We start from the raw sequence: 17,932 nt of genomic DNA on the forward strand, positions 1-17,932 counted from the left end.
GGTGGGGCCCAGGCAGAGGCAGGTGATATGGCTCATTTTTAACTATATTGCAGCTAAGTCAAATGATATAACCTACCTATGGGGCTTGGCAGAGTCAGAGCTCAACCATTTCAACCATTCTCTGTTGATAATGTTAAGGCTGGGGCCTCTTCCTCCTTACAGTGACATTAGCAGTGTCATCAGATGGACACGGGATGCAATCCCAGCTCTGCCACTCCAGCTCTGTGACCTCGGCCAAGGACTTTCCCTTCCTGAGCCTCAGTCTGTCACATAGAACTCACCCATTAGGTTATTTCGAGGCTGCTTCCATGGGAGCTGGACAGAGATTCGGGAGCAATGCACGAGGTAGCTGGCCGACCCCTCTGTGCTCATCGCCTTATACTCATCACCTCTGCATGAACCGGGTCCATCGTGTCGATTCAGTAACCCTGAAATCCCAAAACTCAGAAACTGAACATTAAAGAACTCAGCTTGGCCGGGCGCGGTGGCTCACACCTGTAATCCTAGCACTTTGGGAGGCTGAGGCGGGCGGATCACGAGATCAGGAGATCGAGACCATCCTGGCTAACATGGTGAAACCCCATCTCTACTAAAAATACAAAAAAATTAGCCAGGCATGGTGGCGGGCGTCTGTAGTCCCAACTACTCGGGAGGCTGAGAATGGCATGAACCTGGGAGGCGGAGCTTGCAGTAAGCTGAGATTGCGCCACTGCACTCCAGCCTAGGTGACAGAGTGAGATTCTGTCTCAAAACAAAACAAAACAAAACAAAAAAAACTCAGCTTATAAAAATGCATTTGGGACAAGTGCTAACCCAGATTGATGCCCAAGGCTGCTTATTTGAGATCTTTGCTCCTCCCACTGCGTGCGGAGAGTAATGCACAGCTGTTAGTGTGTTTGAGCCCAGGTTCTGCTTCCAGCACCACTCAGGGTGTTAGGTCATAGGTAGAACCTGCACAGTTCTCCTATAAGTCTGGGAAATTCTGCATTCGGAAGCCATCCAGCCCCCAGATCTCAGTTCAGGGCTGTGGAGCTGGGGAAGCATTCCCACTTTGCAGTGGGGCAGTGTGGGTCAGGGAGGTTAGCTGGGTTGCTCAAGGCCACGCAGCTAGAAATTGGTAGGACTGTCATCTGAGCCCCAAGTAAGGGCTTCCCCAGCCTGGCTCCTCTCGCCCTGGGCCCTCTGCCTCCAGGGGTCCACACAAAGCCTGACCCCTGCTATTCCTGCCTCTGGGCTTCCGAGCTACCTGGGGCATCAGCTAGGCTCACCAGGTTTTCAGGGGGCTTGGGTTCTTGGCTGGCAGCCAGGGGCAGACCCGCCGCCTCAGCCCAGCAGGGCACCTCCCCCAAGGAGAGGATCCGCTGCTTGCCCTTCCTTTCCAGGCCCTGCCTGAGCGCATTGTCTCCCTGCAGCCTCAGAAGTCCCGGGCTGAAGACCTGGGCCTGAAGGCGAAGGCCCTGGAGAAGACAGTTGCATCATGGCAGCACATGGCCACTGAGGCTGCCCGAACCCTCCAGACTGCTGCCCAGGCGACGCTACGGCAAACAGAACCCCTCACAAAGGTCAGCTCTTGTGCTTTGAAGCAGGGGACCTGGGAGAGGTTGGGGCTACCCTGAAGGTGATCCAGGGTCAGGGTTGCAGGAGGGAGAAGGGCAGAGACAGAAGTAGCTCTGTCCGGCCGGGTGTAGTGGCTCACACCTGTAATCCCACCACTTTGGGAGGCCGAGACGGGTGGATCACGAGGTCAGGAGATTGAGACCATCCTGGCTAACATGGTGAAACCCCATCTCTACTAAAAATACAAAAAATTAGCCAGGCATGGTGGCATGTGCCTATAGTCCCATCTACTTGGGAGGCTGAGGCAGGAGAATCGCTTGAACCCAGGAGGTGGAGGTTGCAGTGAGCTGAGATCGCGCCACTGCACTCCAGTCTGGCAACAGAGTGAGACCCCATCTCAAAAAAAAGAAAAAAGAAGAAGTAGCTCTGTCCATCCCTCTGGTGCCTCCTGCAAAACTCCACATACAGCCTGAGATAGGGGAGGGGACCCTGATACCCCGAGAAGAGATGATGGATAGACTGACAGAGGACAGCAGCAGCAGCACCCGGGGCCACACCCACCATCCTGGGATCATTCTCTCTCATGCCTCCATTCATTAGTTCATTCTCTAGTTCATTCATGGCTCATTTGAAAGCTGCAGAGAAGCGGCCACTTTCCAAGGCAGCTGTACCGATAATTTTGTTTTTAATTTTGTTTTTGAAACAGTCTTGCTCTATTGCCTGGGCTAGAGTGCAGTGACACAATCTCGGTTCACTGCAACCTCCATTTCCCGGGTTCAAGTGATTCTCCTGGGTCAGCCTCCAGAGTAACTGGGACTACAGGTGTGTGCCACCGTGTCTAGCTAAATTCTTTTGTATTTTTAGTAGAGATGGGGTTTCACTGTGTTGGCCAGGCTGGTCTCGAACTCCTGGCCTTAAGTGATCCACCTGCCTCGGCCTCTCAACATGCTAGGATTATAGGTGTAAGCCACCACACCCAGCCTCATTCCTTTTTTTTTTTTTTTTTTTTTTTTTGAGACAGACTCTTACTCTGTCACCAAGGCTGGAGTGCGTGGCGCGATCTCGGCTCACTGCAACCTCTGCCTCCCAGGTTCATGCGATTCTCCTGCCTCAGCCTCCAGAGTAGTTGAGATTACAGGCCCTCACCACCACGCCCAGCTAATGTTTGTATTTTTAGTAGAGATGGGGTTTCACCATGTTGGCCAGGCTGAACTCCTGATCTCAGATGATCCACCCACCTCAGCCTCCCAAAGTGCTGGGATTACAGGCACGAGCCATCACACCCGGCTTCCATTCCTTTTAAAGACAGGATAAGGGGGCTGTCTGTGAGGCATGAGAATGTATCTGAAGAGCTGAGCCCAGTGCCTGCCGCTTACCCGGGGAGTTTGGCTTTGCCCCCGGGGTAGCACCTGCTGATCTGGTCCACTGCCCTCGTCCAGGGTGAGGTTGCCAGGAAGAGAGGTGACTTCCCCAGGAGTCAGGGCCAGGCCCCAGCGTGTACAGATGCCTCACCCCACCACAGCACCCATGCCTTCGTCCTCCTCCCCACCCCATGAGCAATCAGAATAGGCCTGAGGCAGTACTAGTGGCTCCTCAAACTACTATTTATTTATTCTTGTTACAGTGACATTCACGTGGCATACAAACACCCATTTTAGATGCAATGGCTTTAGCACGTTCACGATGTTATGCCACCTCCACCTCAGTCTAGTTTCAGAACATTCTCACCACCCCTAACTCCATGCCCACTCAGCAGTCCCTCCTCATTTCCACTTCCGAGGCCCGGGCAGCCTCCACTCTGTTCTCTGTCTCTGTAGATTTCCTTAGTCCAGCTCTTTTGCAGAAATGGAATCGTGTAATATGTGCCGATGGTGTCAGGCTTCCTCCTGATGGCATCACCTTTTCAGGGTTCACCTGCCTTGCGGCCTGGATCTATACTTCCTCCCTTTGAAAGGCTCGGTCATATTCCAGTGTGTGGATGAAGCACATTTTGTTTACCCACTCATCTATCAGACCCAAATTCTTTCAGTGTATCTAGTCCTGTTGAGTGGCAGTGGGGAAGAAACTGATCTTCCATAAGTCAAGGTGGTGTCATAAACAGATTTGCGATTTTCACATCCACTTGCTGAGATAGAGCAGTGTTCCCTCCCTCCCTCCCTCCCTCCCTCCCTTCCTTCCTTTCTTTCTCTCTCTTTTTTAGATGGAATCTTTATGCCACCCAGGCTGGAGTGCAGTGGCTTGATCTCCGCTCACTATAACCTCTGCCCCATAGGTTCAAGCCATACTCCCGCCTCAGCCTCCCCCAGTAGCTGGGATTGCAGGCATGCACCACCACACCTAGCTAATTTTAAATAAATTTTTAGTAGAGACAGGGTTTCACCATGTTGGCCAGGCTGGTCTCGAACTCCTGACCTCAAGTGATCTGCCCACCTCGGCCTTCCAAAGTGTTGGGATTACAGGTGTGAGTCTCTGTGCCTGGCCAATAGAACATGTTCTAAAGAGATGTTCAGGTGTTCTCGTTCCTTTAATTCTAGTGTTTTAGTTTTCCTCCGGGCTTTTGTGGACAGGTATCTCTTGGGAGACATTCGGAGTTCAACTTTTGTATAATAACACAGATCAGGTGCTCCTGGTGGACAGCGTGACCCAGCGTCAGGGATTTGGTGATGATTTGGGCACCCATGTATGTGGGTTTGGTGCCCACTGAGCTGCCCCTGGGCCCTGCTCCTGTGGAGCCAGCTGCCCAGCCTCTCCTCATCTCTCTCCAGCTGCACCAGGAGGCCAGAGCCGCCCTGACCCAGGCTTCCTCATCTGTCCAGGCTGCGACAGTGACTGTCATGGGAGCCAGGACTCTGCTGGCTGATCTGGAAGGTACGTGAGTCCAGCTGACCACTAGGCTGTGTAATGACGAACGCCCCTGACAGCCACTCACCTCTCGCCTCAGCCAGGGCAGGCTTGCAGAGGACAGGAGTCTGGTCTTGTGGGCTTAATTAAGCCAAACAGACTTTCCCTCCACCTCTCAGGATCCTGCCCCATCTCATACATCACTCACCTCGGACTTGCCCATGTGGCTATCCCATACACCCCAGGTCATCAGACCACATGCAGAGCCCCTCCAGACCAAGTGAGAGGAGACTCTAACATCATTGGCTGTTCAACCAGGTCAAGTCCACTCTGGCCTGGGCTCCAGTTAGTTATCTGATACAAATATGGCTGTCCGGGTCCAATGTTGAGTTGGGGCTATGGGAAGCAGATGGAGTTTCTCTTTAGAAGGGGCTATGGGTTGATGCCAGTCTAGTGCCCCCATTTTGCAGATGGGTAGGCTGAGGAAAGGAATTGCTATTCATCCCTGGGTCAGAGCTAAGCTGGGAATAGAAGCCAGCAAGTATTACGATTCTGCAAGTATCCACCTGTGTGATGGGCTTCTGTGATACCCAATTTGCTCCAGAGAGAAGCCCCCTCACCCTTTGTTTGTGGCTCCTTATCCAACGGGCTGGATAAGGCAGGAACACACTCTGAACCCCAGATGTCTCTTGGGGTCTGAGGCCAGAAGTCAGGCTTCTGCTGTTGTTCTGTGGCCTCCCTCCCCAGCCCTGCCCACTGCCCGGAAGAGATGGAGCGCTAGCTGTGGACCCAGCCCCTCTGGGGCAGAGGATGGGCTGGTCAGTGCTCCTGTTCCCCAGCTTCCTGGCGGCTTGAAGTCCTAGTCACCCATCGTTTGGGGACTTCCTGTCGGAAAGGCGTGGCCGTGTGTGCTTAAGTATCTAGAGTCATATTTAGAAAAAGGTACATTCAATGACTTATAATGATGGAATGTTAGGATCTTAGAACATTAGAATTATAAGAGGTCTTAAGGTCATCTGCTGCAAATCTCACACCTGGCAGTGGACTCGCCCACCCTCAGCTTGCCTATCTCCAACAATGGGGGGCTCACTACCTTACAAGCTTTTACCTTCTCATTGTCGGGTTCTGAGAATGAGAACATTCTTGTGTGTAGTGGATGGAAATTTCCTTGCACTGTTCCCATAATCCACAGGAGGGCTAACCTCAAACCTCTAACCCCAGGCTCTTTTCCCCATTCTGATCCCATTTTAGAGACACCCTTTCTTACCACCAGCTTGGCTGTGCTCAGTTGGTGTTCAGGATAAAAGGAAAATTCACAAGGTGAACTGTGGAGCAGTCTTCCCCAGGGTGTGGCCGGGGGTCTCCTAGCCTATTGATACGCTCTGCCAAGAGAGGGTTTGTGTTCAAATAAGTTTAGGAACTGTCTCTTGCTGCAGCATCCTCTTGAGGTCTTACAGAGAACGCTTGAGAATATTAAAGGTTCTGAGAAGGCCTGTAATAAAGAAACCTGCTTCACTTTCAACTTAATTGACACTTCCCCCTAACGTTTGTTAACACCGTGGAGAATTAGGGCTCCACACAATACATGCTGAGAAACATCAATTTTGTGTACAAGGAGCAAAGCAGGTCTAATTTCTGGATGGAACAATTCTATAATATTATGCCCTCAAAGATTAGAAGGCTTTATTCATTTTAAAAATTGACTTTTACTTTGTCCACTGTAATAAGTGCTTTTTTTTTTTTTTTTTTTTTTTTTTTGAGATAGAGTCTCGCTCTGTTGCCTAGGCTGGAGTACAGTGGCATGATCTCGGCTCACTGCAACCTCTGCCTTCTGGGTTCAAGTGATTCTCCTGCCTCAGCCTCCTGAGTAGCTGGGATTACAGGTGCCCGCCACCACACCCGGCATTTTTTTTTTTTTTTGTATTTTTAGTAGAGACAGGGTTTCACCAGGTTGGACAGGCTGGTTTTGAACTCCTGACCTCTGGTGATCTACCTGCCTCCGCCTCCCAAAGTGTTAGGATTACAGGCGTAAGTCACCGTGCCTGGCCTGTATTCAGTTCTTTTGATGATAAACTTCCTTTAGAATTTTTTTTTGAGTTGGGGTCTCACTCTGTCACCCAGGCTGGAGTGCAGTGGTGCAATCATAGCTCACTGTAGCCTCCAACTCCTGGCCTCAAGTGATCCTTCCACCTCAGTCTCGTGAGTAGCTAGGTCTATAGGTGTGTGCCACCATGCCCAGCTAAGCTTTTGTCTTTTTGTAGAGATGAGGTCTCACTATGTTTCCTAGGCTGGTTTTGAACTCCTGGCCTGATCCTCCTGCTTCAGCCTCCAGAGTAGCTGGGATTACAGGAATGAGCCACCGCACCTGACTAAATTTCCCTTAGAATTTTATCTGAAAGGAAAGGAAATAGTCTCTTTGTTTACCAAGAAATAAACTACTTCTTATTGGATAATAAAATCTATGGGAATTCTAACATTTCCTCTGGGTGTGGTGGCTCACACCCGTAATCCCAGCACTTTGGGAAGCCAAGGTGGGTGGATCACTTAAAGCCAGGAATTTGAGATCAGCCTGGCCAACATGGTGAAACTCCATCTCTACTAAAAAAAAAAAAATACCAGCCGTGTATGGTGGTGTGTGCTTATAATCTCAGCTACTCAGGAGGCTGAGGCAGGAAAATTGCTTAAACCCGTGAGGCAGAGGTTGCAGTGAGCTGAGATCTCTCCACTGCACTCCAGCCTGGGTGACAGAGCGAGACCTTGTCTCACTGCACTCCAGCCTGGGTGACAGAGCGAGACCTTGTCTCAAAAAAAAAAAAAAAAAAGAGAATTGTAACATTTCCCTTTTTGTCTTGATTGCTTGAAAGCTCAGTGGTCAATCAAACATTTGGTTTCTGCAATGTCATTATCGAGATTTTCTGGTACTTCTCCCTCTCCTCTGTCCTTCCTCATCCCTCCAGTTACATCAGACTCTTGGTTTTCCATGGTAAGGATCCATTTGTTGATTTACCCATCACTATACACTGCCTTAAAGCATTGTTTAGACGTAGGCAGTACATGAAAATGCCGAGCTGAGCAGACTGAGCCATGGACTGTGCTAGTCCCCACCACTGGCCCCAGCATTGACCACCATGTAATTCCTTGACTTTAATAGACATCCTAATAGAATGAATACTCATCTCAAAATTCCCCAAGCAGTATGTCTGTGTCTCGCTTGCTTTTGTTTTCTCCTGGATAAGCCTGAGAAGGCGATATGCACGTTGCATGCACTTCAGACCTCCACTCGTTGTCCAAGGGTCTGTGGTCAGCCAGGCAGCTCTGCCAGCGGCTGCCTGGGAGGCACCGGAGGTGTGAGCCCAGTTCCCCTGACCCAGCCTCAGCCGGGTTTGCAGGAATGAAGCTGCAGTTTCCCCGGCCCAAGGACCAGGCGGCATTGCAGAGGAAGGCAGACTCCGTCAGTGACAGACTCCTTGCAGACACGAGAAAGAAGACCAAGCAGGCGGAGAGGATGCTGGGAAACGCGGCCCCTCTTTCCTCCAGTGCCAAGAAGAAGGGCAGAGAAGCAGAGGTGTTGGCCAAGGACAGTGCCAAGGTCAGGGTGGTGGCTGTGACAACAGTGGCCTCCTTCCCTCCCGGGGGGACCGCCCTTCCGCGGGCCCCTTCCCGACATCCGTGCTGACTACTCCGCACTCACTCACTGCTCAGTGGGCCCAGGCAATTAGCTCAGAGACTTCACGGGGGTGAGTCTGTGGGTTCCTCACGAAATAGGTGTCATTGCTGTCCCCATTGTACAGGTGAGAATGCTGAGGTGCAGCCAGCTTCATGAACTTAACCAGGACTTACACCTGGGTCTGCTGGCTTTCCTGCCTAAACTTCTAGGTTTTTCTTTTCTTTTTTGTTATTTTGAAGTTTGCGTTTATTTATTTTACCTGCCTTTTTGTTTTCAATTTTTTTCTTAATTTTTTCAGACAGATTCTTACTCTGTGGCCCAGGCTGGAGTGCAGTGGCGCAATCTCAGCTCACTGCAATCTCCGCCTCCTGGGTTCAAGTGACTCTCCTGCCTCAGATTCCAGAGTGGCTGGGATTATAGGCGTGCTCCACCACACCTGGCTAATTTTTGTATTTTTAGTAGAGCGGGGTTTCACCATGTTGGCCAGGCTGGTCTCGAACTTCTGATCTCAGATGATCCACCTACCTTGGCCTCCCAAAGTGCTGGGATTACAGGTGTGAGCCACTGCACCCAGCTTAAGGGTTTTTGGTTTTGTTTTTTTTTTTTGCTTGTTTGTTTGTTTTTTGTAGAGACAGGGTCTCTGTCGCCCAGGCTGGAGTACAGTAGCACAATCACAGCTCACTGCAGCCTCAAACCCTTGGGCTTAAGTGATCTTCCTGCCTCAGCCTCCTGAGTAACTGGGACTACAGGTGTGTGCCACTGTGCCTGGCTAACTTTTTTTTTTTTGCAGAGATGAGGAGTCTCGGCCAGGTGTGGTGGCTAACTCCTGTAATCCCAGCACTTTGGGAGGCCAAGGCAGGCAGATCACTTGAGGTCAGGAGTTCGAGACCAGTCTGGTCAACATGGTGAAACCCTGTCTCTACTAAAAATACAAAAAAATTAGCCGGGCATGGTGGCTCGCACCTGTAGTCCTAACTACTCCAGAGGCTGAGACACAAGAATTGCTTGAACCTGGGAGGTGGAGGTTGCAGTCAGCCAAACTGCACCACTGCACTCCAGCCTGGGCAACAGAGGGAGACTCTGCCTCGAAAAAAAAAAAGAAAAAAAAGATTGGGGTCTCACTATGTTGCCCAGGCTGGTCTTGAACCTCTGGTCTCAAGCAAGCCTCCTGCCTCAGCCTCCCAAAGTGCTGGGACCATAGGCATGAGCCACTGCACCCAGCCCTGGCTGATTTTAACTAGGCTTTTAAAAAATTGGTGCCAAATTCTAATCAGTGCCTATCTCCCCAGCTCTGCTGCTGGTTCTGTTGCTCACACACCAAGGAAACTGTCTTTATGGTGCCTAGGAAAAGTGCTGGGTTTGCAGTAGGGGTCCCCGGGCTTGATCTCTTGTCATGCCCCTCGGGCTTTGGCCAGCCCCTCCTCCCCTCTGTGCCTCTGTTTCCTCACCTGTAAAATAGTTAGAATTGCTCCTCCTGAAACGGGTGGTATCCAGCAGTCTACACTGTGCCCAGCACTTAGCCTGCATTCAGTACATATTTGTTGCGTGCATGAATGAATGAATGATCTGCCTGGTACAGACAACTGCTTGGCATCATTGCCATAAGAGCTATTTACCTCCAAAAGGACTTGCTGCACTCACTTCTTCTCCCTGCCACTGCCACCCATCCCATAGCTTGCCAAGGCCTTGCTGAGGGAGCGGAAACAGGCGCACCGCCGTGCCAGCAGGCTCACCAGCCAGACGCAAGCCACGCTCCAACAGGCGTCCCAGCAGGTGCTGGCGTCTGAAGCACGCAGACAGGAGCTGGAGGAAGCTGAGCGGGTACGTTTGCCAGGGCCCCTACCCTATCGCCTCCTGCCCCTGGCAGCCCGGGTGGGGACGCCATTCAAGCTGTTTCTTCCTCCTCCCCCTGAAAGGTGGGTGCTGGGCTGAGCGAGATGGAGCAGCAGATCCGGGAATCGCGTATCTCACTGGAGAAGGACATCGAGACCTTGTCAGAGCTGCTTGCCAGGCTGGGTAAGGAGGCCCTAAGGCTGGGCCCTGAACCCCTGGGTCCCTGGGGCACCTCTAGGATCTTCCTGTGAGCTCCAGTCCTGGGGAAGATTTCCTCCTTGTCCTCATTGCCATGCTTCCCGCATCCCCATCTTTGTGGTCAATCACAAGCATTTATAACCATGCCCAGGCCCCCTTGCCATGTGGGACAGGGTTGGCATCTAGAAGTGAGTTCACTTTGAGTAACTGTTTGTGCCTCCAGGGCCCTCTATTCTTTGGGGCAGGGCAGGGGGCACACAGAAAACTCACCATTGGCAAGAACACCCACAGGCACCGGGTGAGCAGGTGAGCAGGTCAGTCCTCAGGAGCTGAGGGTTCAGGAGAAGAAGAAAGACTGTCACGGCAGAAAGTGTCATCAGGTGCTGGTCTGGGATCAGACTAAGATTCAAGTCTGGCTCTGTCCCTTCTTTGGCCATTAGACCTCGGGCAAGCCACTCCACCTCTCTGAGCCTCAGATCCCCCATCTGGAAAATGGGAGTAACAGTGGGGTGGTTTAGAAAGCGCTTACCACGGTGCGTGGTGTATGTTGAGAGTGAGTAAATAGCGGCTCGTAGGAAGGAGGTCAGATTCAAGATGGGCCTTAGCAAGGAGGCATTTTGGATGAAGGGAATAGCACCTCCCAAGGCACGAAGGTTGCAGAGGCCCAGTGTTGTGGGGAGGCTCAGGAGACAGCAGACAGGGCAGTTGGGCTGAAAAGAACAGCATGTATTTTTTTCAAATTGTAAAAGACACATAATATTTTCCATCTTAACCATTTTGAAGTGTACAGTTCAGCAGCATTAAGTATATTCATTGTTGTGCGATCATCACCACTACCCATCTCTAGAACACTTTCATCATCTCCAACTGAAGCTCTGTCCTCCTGAAACACTAACCCCCCATTTCCCTCCCCCAGCCCCTGGCAGCCATCATTCTACTTTCTGTCTCTATGAATTTGACTACTCTGGGCCAGGCAGGGTGGCTCATGCCTGTAATCCCAGCACTTTGAGAGGCTAAGGTGGGTGGATCATTTGAGGTCAGGAGTTTGAGACCAGCCTGACCAACATGGTGAAACCCTGTCCCTTCTAAAGATATAAAAAAAATTAGCCAGGCATGGTGGCACATGCCTGTAATCTCAGCTACACAGGAGGCTGAGGCAGGAGAATCGCTTGAACCTGGGAGGCGGAGGTTGCAGTGAGCCAGGATCACACCACTGCACTCCAGCCTGGGTGAGAGTGAGACTCCGTCTCAAAAGAAGAACTTGCTTAGAATCATAGGTGGGAATTGAACAATGAGAACACTCAGACACAGGGTGGGGAACATCACACACTGGGGCCTGTCATCGGGTGGGGGGAGGGGGGAGGGATAGCATTAGGAGAAATACCTAATGTAAATGACCAGTTAATGGGTGCAGCATACCAACATGGCACATGTATACATATGTAACAAACCTGCACGTTGTGCACATGTACCCTATAACTTAAAAAAAAAAAAGAATTTGACTACTCTGGGGACCTCATATAACTGGAATCATATAGTATTTGTACTTTTAAAATTTTTTTGGAGACAGGATCTTGCTCTGTTACCCAGGCTGGAGTGCAGTGGTGCAGTCGTGGCTCACTGCAGCCTCAAACTCCTGGGCTCAAGCGATTCTTCCACTTCAGCCTTCGAAGTAGCTGGGACCACAGGCACGCACCACCACACCCAGCTAATTTTTTTTTTTTTTTTTTTTGGAGACAAAAAAATATGTTCCCTATGTTGCCCAGGCTGGTCTCAAACTACTGGGCTCAAGTGATCCTCCTGCCTTGGCCTCCCAAAGTGCTGGGATCACAAGCGTGAGCCACCATGCCCGGCCTTATTTGTCCTCTTTTGACTGACTTATTTCACTTAGCAGAAAGTCATCAAGATTCACCCATGTGGCAGCAAGCATTTTCAATTTTCATTCGTAGTAAGAGGAGAGAGAATTGCCATGCTCTACACGTTGTCTGGACACCAGGCCCACACTAAGCTATTCACACACGTGATCTTACAGAATTCTCATACTCACTCTTTGACGCAAGGACAGTTATTCTTTTGCCGTTTTGCAGATGAGGAAACTGAGGTGAGGAGAGTTTATTTTTATTTTTTATTTATTTTTGTTTTTTTGTAGAGACAGCGTCTCGTTATGTTAACCAAGCTGGTGTTGAACTCCTGGCCTCAAGGGATGCTCCCACCTCAGGTTCCCAAAATGCTGGGATTACGGGAGACAGCCACCACACCCAGCTTAGCACAGAGTTTAGATAATGTGCCCAGGGTCCCACAGCCAGTCGGTAGGAAAGCCGTGGCTCACCTGCGGGTCCAAGTGACTCAGCGTGCGTGCAGGTAGCCACTAGTCGACACCTAAGGCCCTGTCGTGGAGCAGACACTCTCTTCAACCATTCCTGCATTGTCACTGTCATTCATTCACTTGTCACACTCTGTGTTGGCCTTGTGCTTGGCCTGGGGATGCAGAATGAAGAGCACACGCCTGGCCCCTTCTCCAGGAGCCCTAGGCAGCCTGGGCAGGTAGAGTGGGGGCTGTAATCCATTTCTGAATCTCTTCGAAGACCAGGCTGTTTGGATTTTGCTGTGGGCCATGGGGCCTCTTGAGGTCCTCCTAGGTCAGCAGGGCCTTGGCTCCCCTCTGCCTTCTCTTGCACACTGGCTCAGTGCTTGCAGCTGCTTGCCCAGGAAATCCAGGGCCTCGGGGATCCCAGGGGCCCAGTGGAATCCTGTGGGGTTAGAAGCAGCCACTTGGGGCTGGGCATGGTGGCTCATGCCTGCAATCCCAGCACTTTGGGAGGCCAAGGCGGGTGGATCACTGGAGGTCAGGAGTTTGAGACCAGCCTGACCAACATGGTGAAACCCTGTCTCTACAAAAAATACAAAAATTAGGCAAGGCGTGGTGGCTCACACCTGTAATCCCAGCACTTTGGGAGGCTGAGGCGGGCAGATCACCTGAGGTCAGGAGTTTGAGACCAGCCTGGCCAACGTGGTGAAACCCTGTCTCTACTAAAAATACAAAAAAATTAGCGGAGCATGGTGGCAGGCACCTGTAATCCCAGATACTCGGGAGGCTGAGGCAGGAGAATCGCTTGAACCTGAGGCCACAGTAAGCTGAGATCGTACCACTGCACTCCAGCCTGGACAACAGAGCGAGACTCCGTCTCAATAAATAAATAAATGCATCCATCCATCCATACATACATACAAAAATTAGCTGGGCATGGTGGTGTGGGCCTGTGGTTTACCCCAGTGATTGCCCACATCCAGGCCCACAGGCGGCATCTGTAAACGTGTGCTGTCAGTGAATTGAGCCAGCATGTTCAAGCTGGCAAAAATCACAGGGGCCTTTCTCCCACACTGTTTTGTAAATGAGTAAACTAAGACTCAGAGAGGACTCACCTGAGGCCTTCTTTTTTAACAATAATAGTAAAACCATCAACAAAAATGACATTTGTCAAGTGCCACCCAGGAGGATGTTCTAGAGTCTGCCCATGGGCCCGTTGGGATGCTATGGGTCCTCACCCACCTCCCAGCCCTTCTGCTCCCCATCTTTCCCTGGTGGATGGTGGGCCATTGGAATCCTGGGAGGCCTGAGCTGGGGAGAGGCTCAGGGGCTGGGAGGTGCCCTGGGGCCTGCAGGGCTGCTGGCTCACAGTGAGGCTGTTTGTGCCCCACCACAGGGTCGCTGGACACCCATCAAGCCCCAGCCCAGGCCCTGAACGAGACTCAGTGGGCACTAGAACGCCTGAGGCTGCAGCTGGGCTCCCCGGGGTCCTTGCAGAGGAAACTCAGTCTGCTGGAGCAGGAATCCCAGCAGCAGGAGCTGCAGATCCAGGGCTTCGAGAGTGACCTCGCCGAGATCCGCGCCGACAAACAGAACCTGGAGGCCATTCTGCACAGCCTGCCCGAGAACTGTGCCAGCTGGCAGTGAGGGCTGCCCAGATCCCCGGCACACACTCCCCCACCTGCTGTTTACATGACCCAGGGGGTGCACACTACCCCACAGGTGTGCCCATACAGACATTCCCCGGAGCCGGCTGCTGTGAACTCGCCCCCGTGTGGATAGTCACTCCCTGCCGATTCTGTCTGTGGCTTCTTCCCTGCCAGCAGGACTGAGTGTGCGTACCCAGTTCACCTGGACATGAGTGCACACTCTCACCCCTGCACATGCATAAACGGGCACACCCCAGTGTCAATAACATACACACGTGAGGGTGCATGTCTGTGTGTATGACCCACACGTGTTCAAGTCTAATCCATCCAGTCAGCAGCTTACGGTCCACACACATTACAGTCCACAGCTGTTGTGAGAGCCACCTGTGTGCTGGACACCCTCTGGATGTTGGGCAAGTTGTTACATGAGATGCCCTGGGGTGCTACATCCACTCACTCCAGATAGCAGGGAGGTCTCAGCAGATCTGCAGAGATCAAGGGGGTCAGCAACAGCCAAAGCCCCTAGTCCCAGAGCTGGCTGCCCTCTGTTTCACAGCAGCTCCCTGACCTGTGTTGCTGCGTGCACTCCCTACAGCTCGACACAGCCAGGGGACCAACAGGCCAAGAAATGCAAGATCCCGGGAGGGTTCTTAGCAGCAGAATCTGAGGCCCAGAGACCCTGAGGCCGTGGCCAGGCCTGCTAGTCTGGCTAGAGCAAGGCCCATTCCTGGCGGGGGTGTCATTGCCTTCACCGGACGCTTCCCTCTCAGGGTCCTGGGACTGCACCAGATGCCCTGAGGGAATGGCCCACCCTGGCCTGTACCCACTTCAGCCTGTGATCTATCCAAAGAGCCAGGCCCAAAAGCGCCTAGGTCAGGGTGCTCAGGCTACCAGGAGCACGCCTCTGTGCCCCCGGCAACCCAGTTGACCTTTAATTGACGCTTTCCAGACCAGCCCTGCGGCACCACTTGCCATGCGGGAGGCCACCAGGGTGTGCAAGCCTGGCTGCCATTCCAGTCTGTCCTGTCTGGGAATCGCCCTGTGGCCAGGCCCGCATGCTGGCCTCTGCCCAGGACTCCTCAGCATTTCCTCTTGGCATCCCTCCCCTCTCCCAGACCCTCTTCCAGCAGATGGCAAGGCCTCGGCATTGGGAAGTCAGGCACCTCTGCGGGCCCAGCCCCCTCCCGTGGCTCCCCTGACAGGGGCAGGGGTAGGGCAGCAGCACAGACCAATTCCGTTGAACGTGGAAATAAAGGACCCTTTCACTGGGCAGGGTGGTGTGCCTCACCCTCCCCGGCTGGTGGGCAGCCAGGGCCCTGGCTGTGGGTGTGCATATGACACACCTAGTAGGTGGCCAGCATGTGGACCGGACGTTGGTAGGAAGGTGGCAAAAGCCGAGCTCGTGGCTGGGCCAGTACCTCCCATTAGAGGGCTTTGCTGGGGTTGTGTGATCACAGGTACCTACCCTGTCCTCTCAGGCACTTACCACGTAAAGCCTAGGAGCTGGTGAGTTGGAGGGGTGGGGTGCGGAGAGGCCCTCAGCTGACCTCTGGTTCAGGCTCGAGACGAACTCACAGCCAAGTGTCCGAGGATGGTGAGGAGCAGGGAGGGGCGCCATCCAGGAGGGGGATGGTGTGGGTGGGGCCTTGAAGGGTGGGGAGGCAGAGAAGGAAGCATTCCAGGCAAGAGGGTGGACAACAGTCCGGGGCCCGCAGGGTTGGGGCTCGGCCAGCTTGCATCACTCCAGGACCCCAGGTTGAATGGGGTGGGATGTTGGAGCTGCTCAGTCAGGGCTCTTGGCCGCAGGCCTCAAACCCCTCCTGAGGTGGTTTCAGCAGAAAAGGGGTGTTGGGAGGGTCGCTTGGAACCCTGGAGTAAAAACGGCTGCCACGTGTTGGAGATAGCCTAGGGAGGGGAGCCTGAGGCTTCCGGGATAGGTTGGCTTCCCTCTTCCCCCCTCCCGCCTCTCTTCTTGGTCTGTGTCTCTGCTCTCCTCTCCTGTATCTGCTTCGTTCTTTTCTCTTTATTTATTGATTTTTTTTGAGATGGAGTCTCGCTCTGTTGCCCAGGCTGGAGTGCAGTGGCATGATCTCTGCCCACTGCATCCTCCACCTCCCAGGTTTAAGCAATTCTCCTGCCTCAGCCTCCCGAGTAGCTAGGACTACAGGTGCTTGCCACCATGCCCAGCTAATTTTGGTATTTTTAGTAGAGACAGGGTTTCACCACGTTGGTCAGGCTGGTCTCAAACTCCTGACCTCAGATGATATACCTGCATTGGCCTCTTAAAGTTCTGGGATTTCAGGCATGAGCCACTGCAACCGGCCCATTCTTTTCTCTTTGCAGAGTGGCTTTCTTTGTTTTTCTTGTGCCTGATAGGAGAGGACACCCACCCCTACCGCCATCCCCCATAATGGCCCCAGGTGTACATGTCATCAGGTCCAGTGCTTGCAAGAGACAAGCTGGTGACTCTGTCCTGATTCCAGCTTCTCAGCTTAGGTGAAGTCCCACCAACCCCCGTTCAGGATAATGAGGATCTCTGGATCTAAGGCCAATAATGGATGACCGGTGCCACCCCCCAACCTAATGGGAGATGGTGTTCAGAGAAGAGGTGTGCTCCTCCACAGAAAACTGTAAAATCAAGGCTACGGTGGGGGATTGACATGATTAAACTGAGCTAGGAGTGACTTGGTCCCTAGATGTCTGGGCAGAGGTGGAGAGGCCGAAGATGGGGGAGCTGCTGCTGCACAGTGAGTTTGGTGATTGGCGTCTGGTGTAAGTGATGTCGAGAATATGGAGTTCTTCCAAGACCTCTGGGATAGGGTCTGATGTCCCCCTCCCGCCTCCCTCCAGTTTCTCAGCCGATGGCACACAGTCGTCCTGGTGCCTGCTCTTGGCACTCAGCCTTTATCCACTCAAGCCGTGGGATCCAGCTCAGCTCAGTCCCAGCATCCCCGACGGGTGGAGAACTCGGGCCTGACATGTTGTGACTCACGCAGTCTGATCATGCCTGGTGCATGTGCTGATCTATTCTCTGGCCCCAGAGGTGGGGCCGCTGCCGGGTGGAATGCGGCAGCTGTTGAACATCTGGCTAGCAATGCAGTCCAGCAGCTGAGCAGAAGGTGGGGTGGCCCCTGCCCTGTAGGATGGCTGACTGGAGCCAACCAGCCCAACCGGCCAGGGCAATAGGCTGTTGGAGCCTGGAGAGGGAAGTGCATTATGAGGGCTCTGTCCTAAGTCAGCTCCCATCCACCAAGGGTGGTAACGCTAAGCTTTTACTCTCTGCTTAAACCATCCAGCAAGTCATCAAAGTTACAAAAGCCCCTGCTTAGTGCGTTCTGGGTTACTTCATTGTGAAGATCAGGGGACTGAAGCTCAGCCAGATCAAGTGCCTCGCCTAAGGTCATGCAGCTTGGCCAAATCCAAACCCTTGGGTGAGTGGACAGAGGAGCGTCAGCTAGGAGAGGTGGGCGCTGGTCTTACTGGGGAGGAGGGGCCTGCCCCCTGGACTGCTGCCCTGACCTCAGCCCCATCCCATTCTGCCTAGCCCCTTGCTGGGCACTTCCCTCCCCAGGGACAGCCACAGAAAAATGATGATCTCGGCTGGGCGTGGTGGCTCACGCCTGTAATCCCAGCACTTTGGGAGGCCGAGGCAGGTGGATCACCTTAGGTCAGGAGTTCGAGACAAACCTTGCCAACATGATGAAACCCCGTCTCTACTAAAAATACAAACATTAGCTGGGCGTGGTGGTGTGTGCCTGTAGTCCCGGCTACTTGGGAGGCTGAGGCAGGAGAATCACTTGAACCCGGAGGCGAAGGTTGCAGTGAGCCGAGATCAAGCCGCTGCACTCCAGCTCTGGGCAACAGAGCAAGACTCTGCCT

General features: G+C 52.8%; 1 protein-coding gene and 1 long non-coding RNA gene across 4 annotated transcripts in view, besides 4 other annotated features; one reads left to right on the plus strand and one right to left on the minus strand.

The window, feature by feature from the left end:
- Positions 1-16,737, plus strand: part of LAMC3 (laminin subunit gamma 3) — an 85,300-nt gene extending 68,563 nt beyond the window's left edge. Inside the window, exons 23-28 of one of the 3 annotated variants that reach the window (XM_011518121.2) lie at positions 1,413-1,562; positions 4,323-4,425; positions 7,770-7,987; positions 9,740-9,886; positions 9,982-10,081; positions 13,801-16,737. In XM_011518121.2, coding sequence (XP_011516423.1) covers positions 1,413-1,562; positions 4,323-4,425; positions 7,770-7,987; positions 9,740-9,886; positions 9,982-10,081; positions 13,801-14,051 — 969 coding nt within the window. In that variant the 3' untranslated portion in view covers positions 14,052-16,737. Of the gene's footprint in view, positions 1-162; positions 340-1,412; positions 1,563-4,322; positions 4,426-7,769; positions 7,988-9,739; positions 9,887-9,981; positions 10,082-13,800 lie in introns of those variants that run through there. The other 2 variants (NM_006059.4, XM_006716921.3) reach the window with 2 other exon arrangements.
- Positions 1,298-1,861: an enhancer, noted in NCBI's record as "H3K27ac-H3K4me1 hESC enhancer chr9:133954421-133954984 (GRCh37/hg19 assembly coordinates)". NCBI's record gives its function as "activates a minimal SCP1, AML or CMV promoter by ChIP-STARR-seq in primed H9 embryonic stem cells {active_cell/tissue: H9 hESC(primed)}" and the evidence as "EXISTENCE:reporter gene assay evidence [ECO:0000049][PMID:30033119]".
- On the minus strand, positions 10,389-15,636 carry LOC124902289 (uncharacterized). Its single transcript, XR_007061825.1, has 3 exons — positions 15,540-15,636; positions 10,626-10,806; positions 10,389-10,425 (listed from the first exon to the last, which is right to left on the minus strand). It is a non-coding gene; the product is annotated as an uncharacterized LOC124902289 (long non-coding RNA).
- Positions 14,597-15,195: an enhancer, noted in NCBI's record as "H3K4me1 hESC enhancer chr9:133967720-133968318 (GRCh37/hg19 assembly coordinates)". NCBI's record gives its function as "activates a minimal SCP1, AML or CMV promoter by ChIP-STARR-seq in naive H9 embryonic stem cells {active_cell/tissue: H9 hESC(naive)}" and the evidence as "EXISTENCE:reporter gene assay evidence [ECO:0000049][PMID:30033119]".
- Positions 15,196-15,792: an enhancer, noted in NCBI's record as "H3K4me1 hESC enhancer chr9:133968319-133968915 (GRCh37/hg19 assembly coordinates)". NCBI's record gives its function as "activates a minimal SCP1, AML or CMV promoter by ChIP-STARR-seq in naive H9 embryonic stem cells {active_cell/tissue: H9 hESC(naive)}" and the evidence as "EXISTENCE:reporter gene assay evidence [ECO:0000049][PMID:30033119]".
- Positions 16,590-17,091: an enhancer, noted in NCBI's record as "H3K4me1 hESC enhancer chr9:133969713-133970214 (GRCh37/hg19 assembly coordinates)". NCBI's record gives its function as "activates a minimal SCP1, AML or CMV promoter by ChIP-STARR-seq in primed H9 embryonic stem cells {active_cell/tissue: H9 hESC(primed)}" and the evidence as "EXISTENCE:reporter gene assay evidence [ECO:0000049][PMID:30033119]".

Source organism: Homo sapiens, chromosome 9 (genome assembly GCF_000001405.40).
Source record: "Homo sapiens chromosome 9, GRCh38.p14 Primary Assembly".
NCBI lineage: Eukaryota > Metazoa > Chordata > Mammalia > Primates > Hominidae > Homo > Homo sapiens.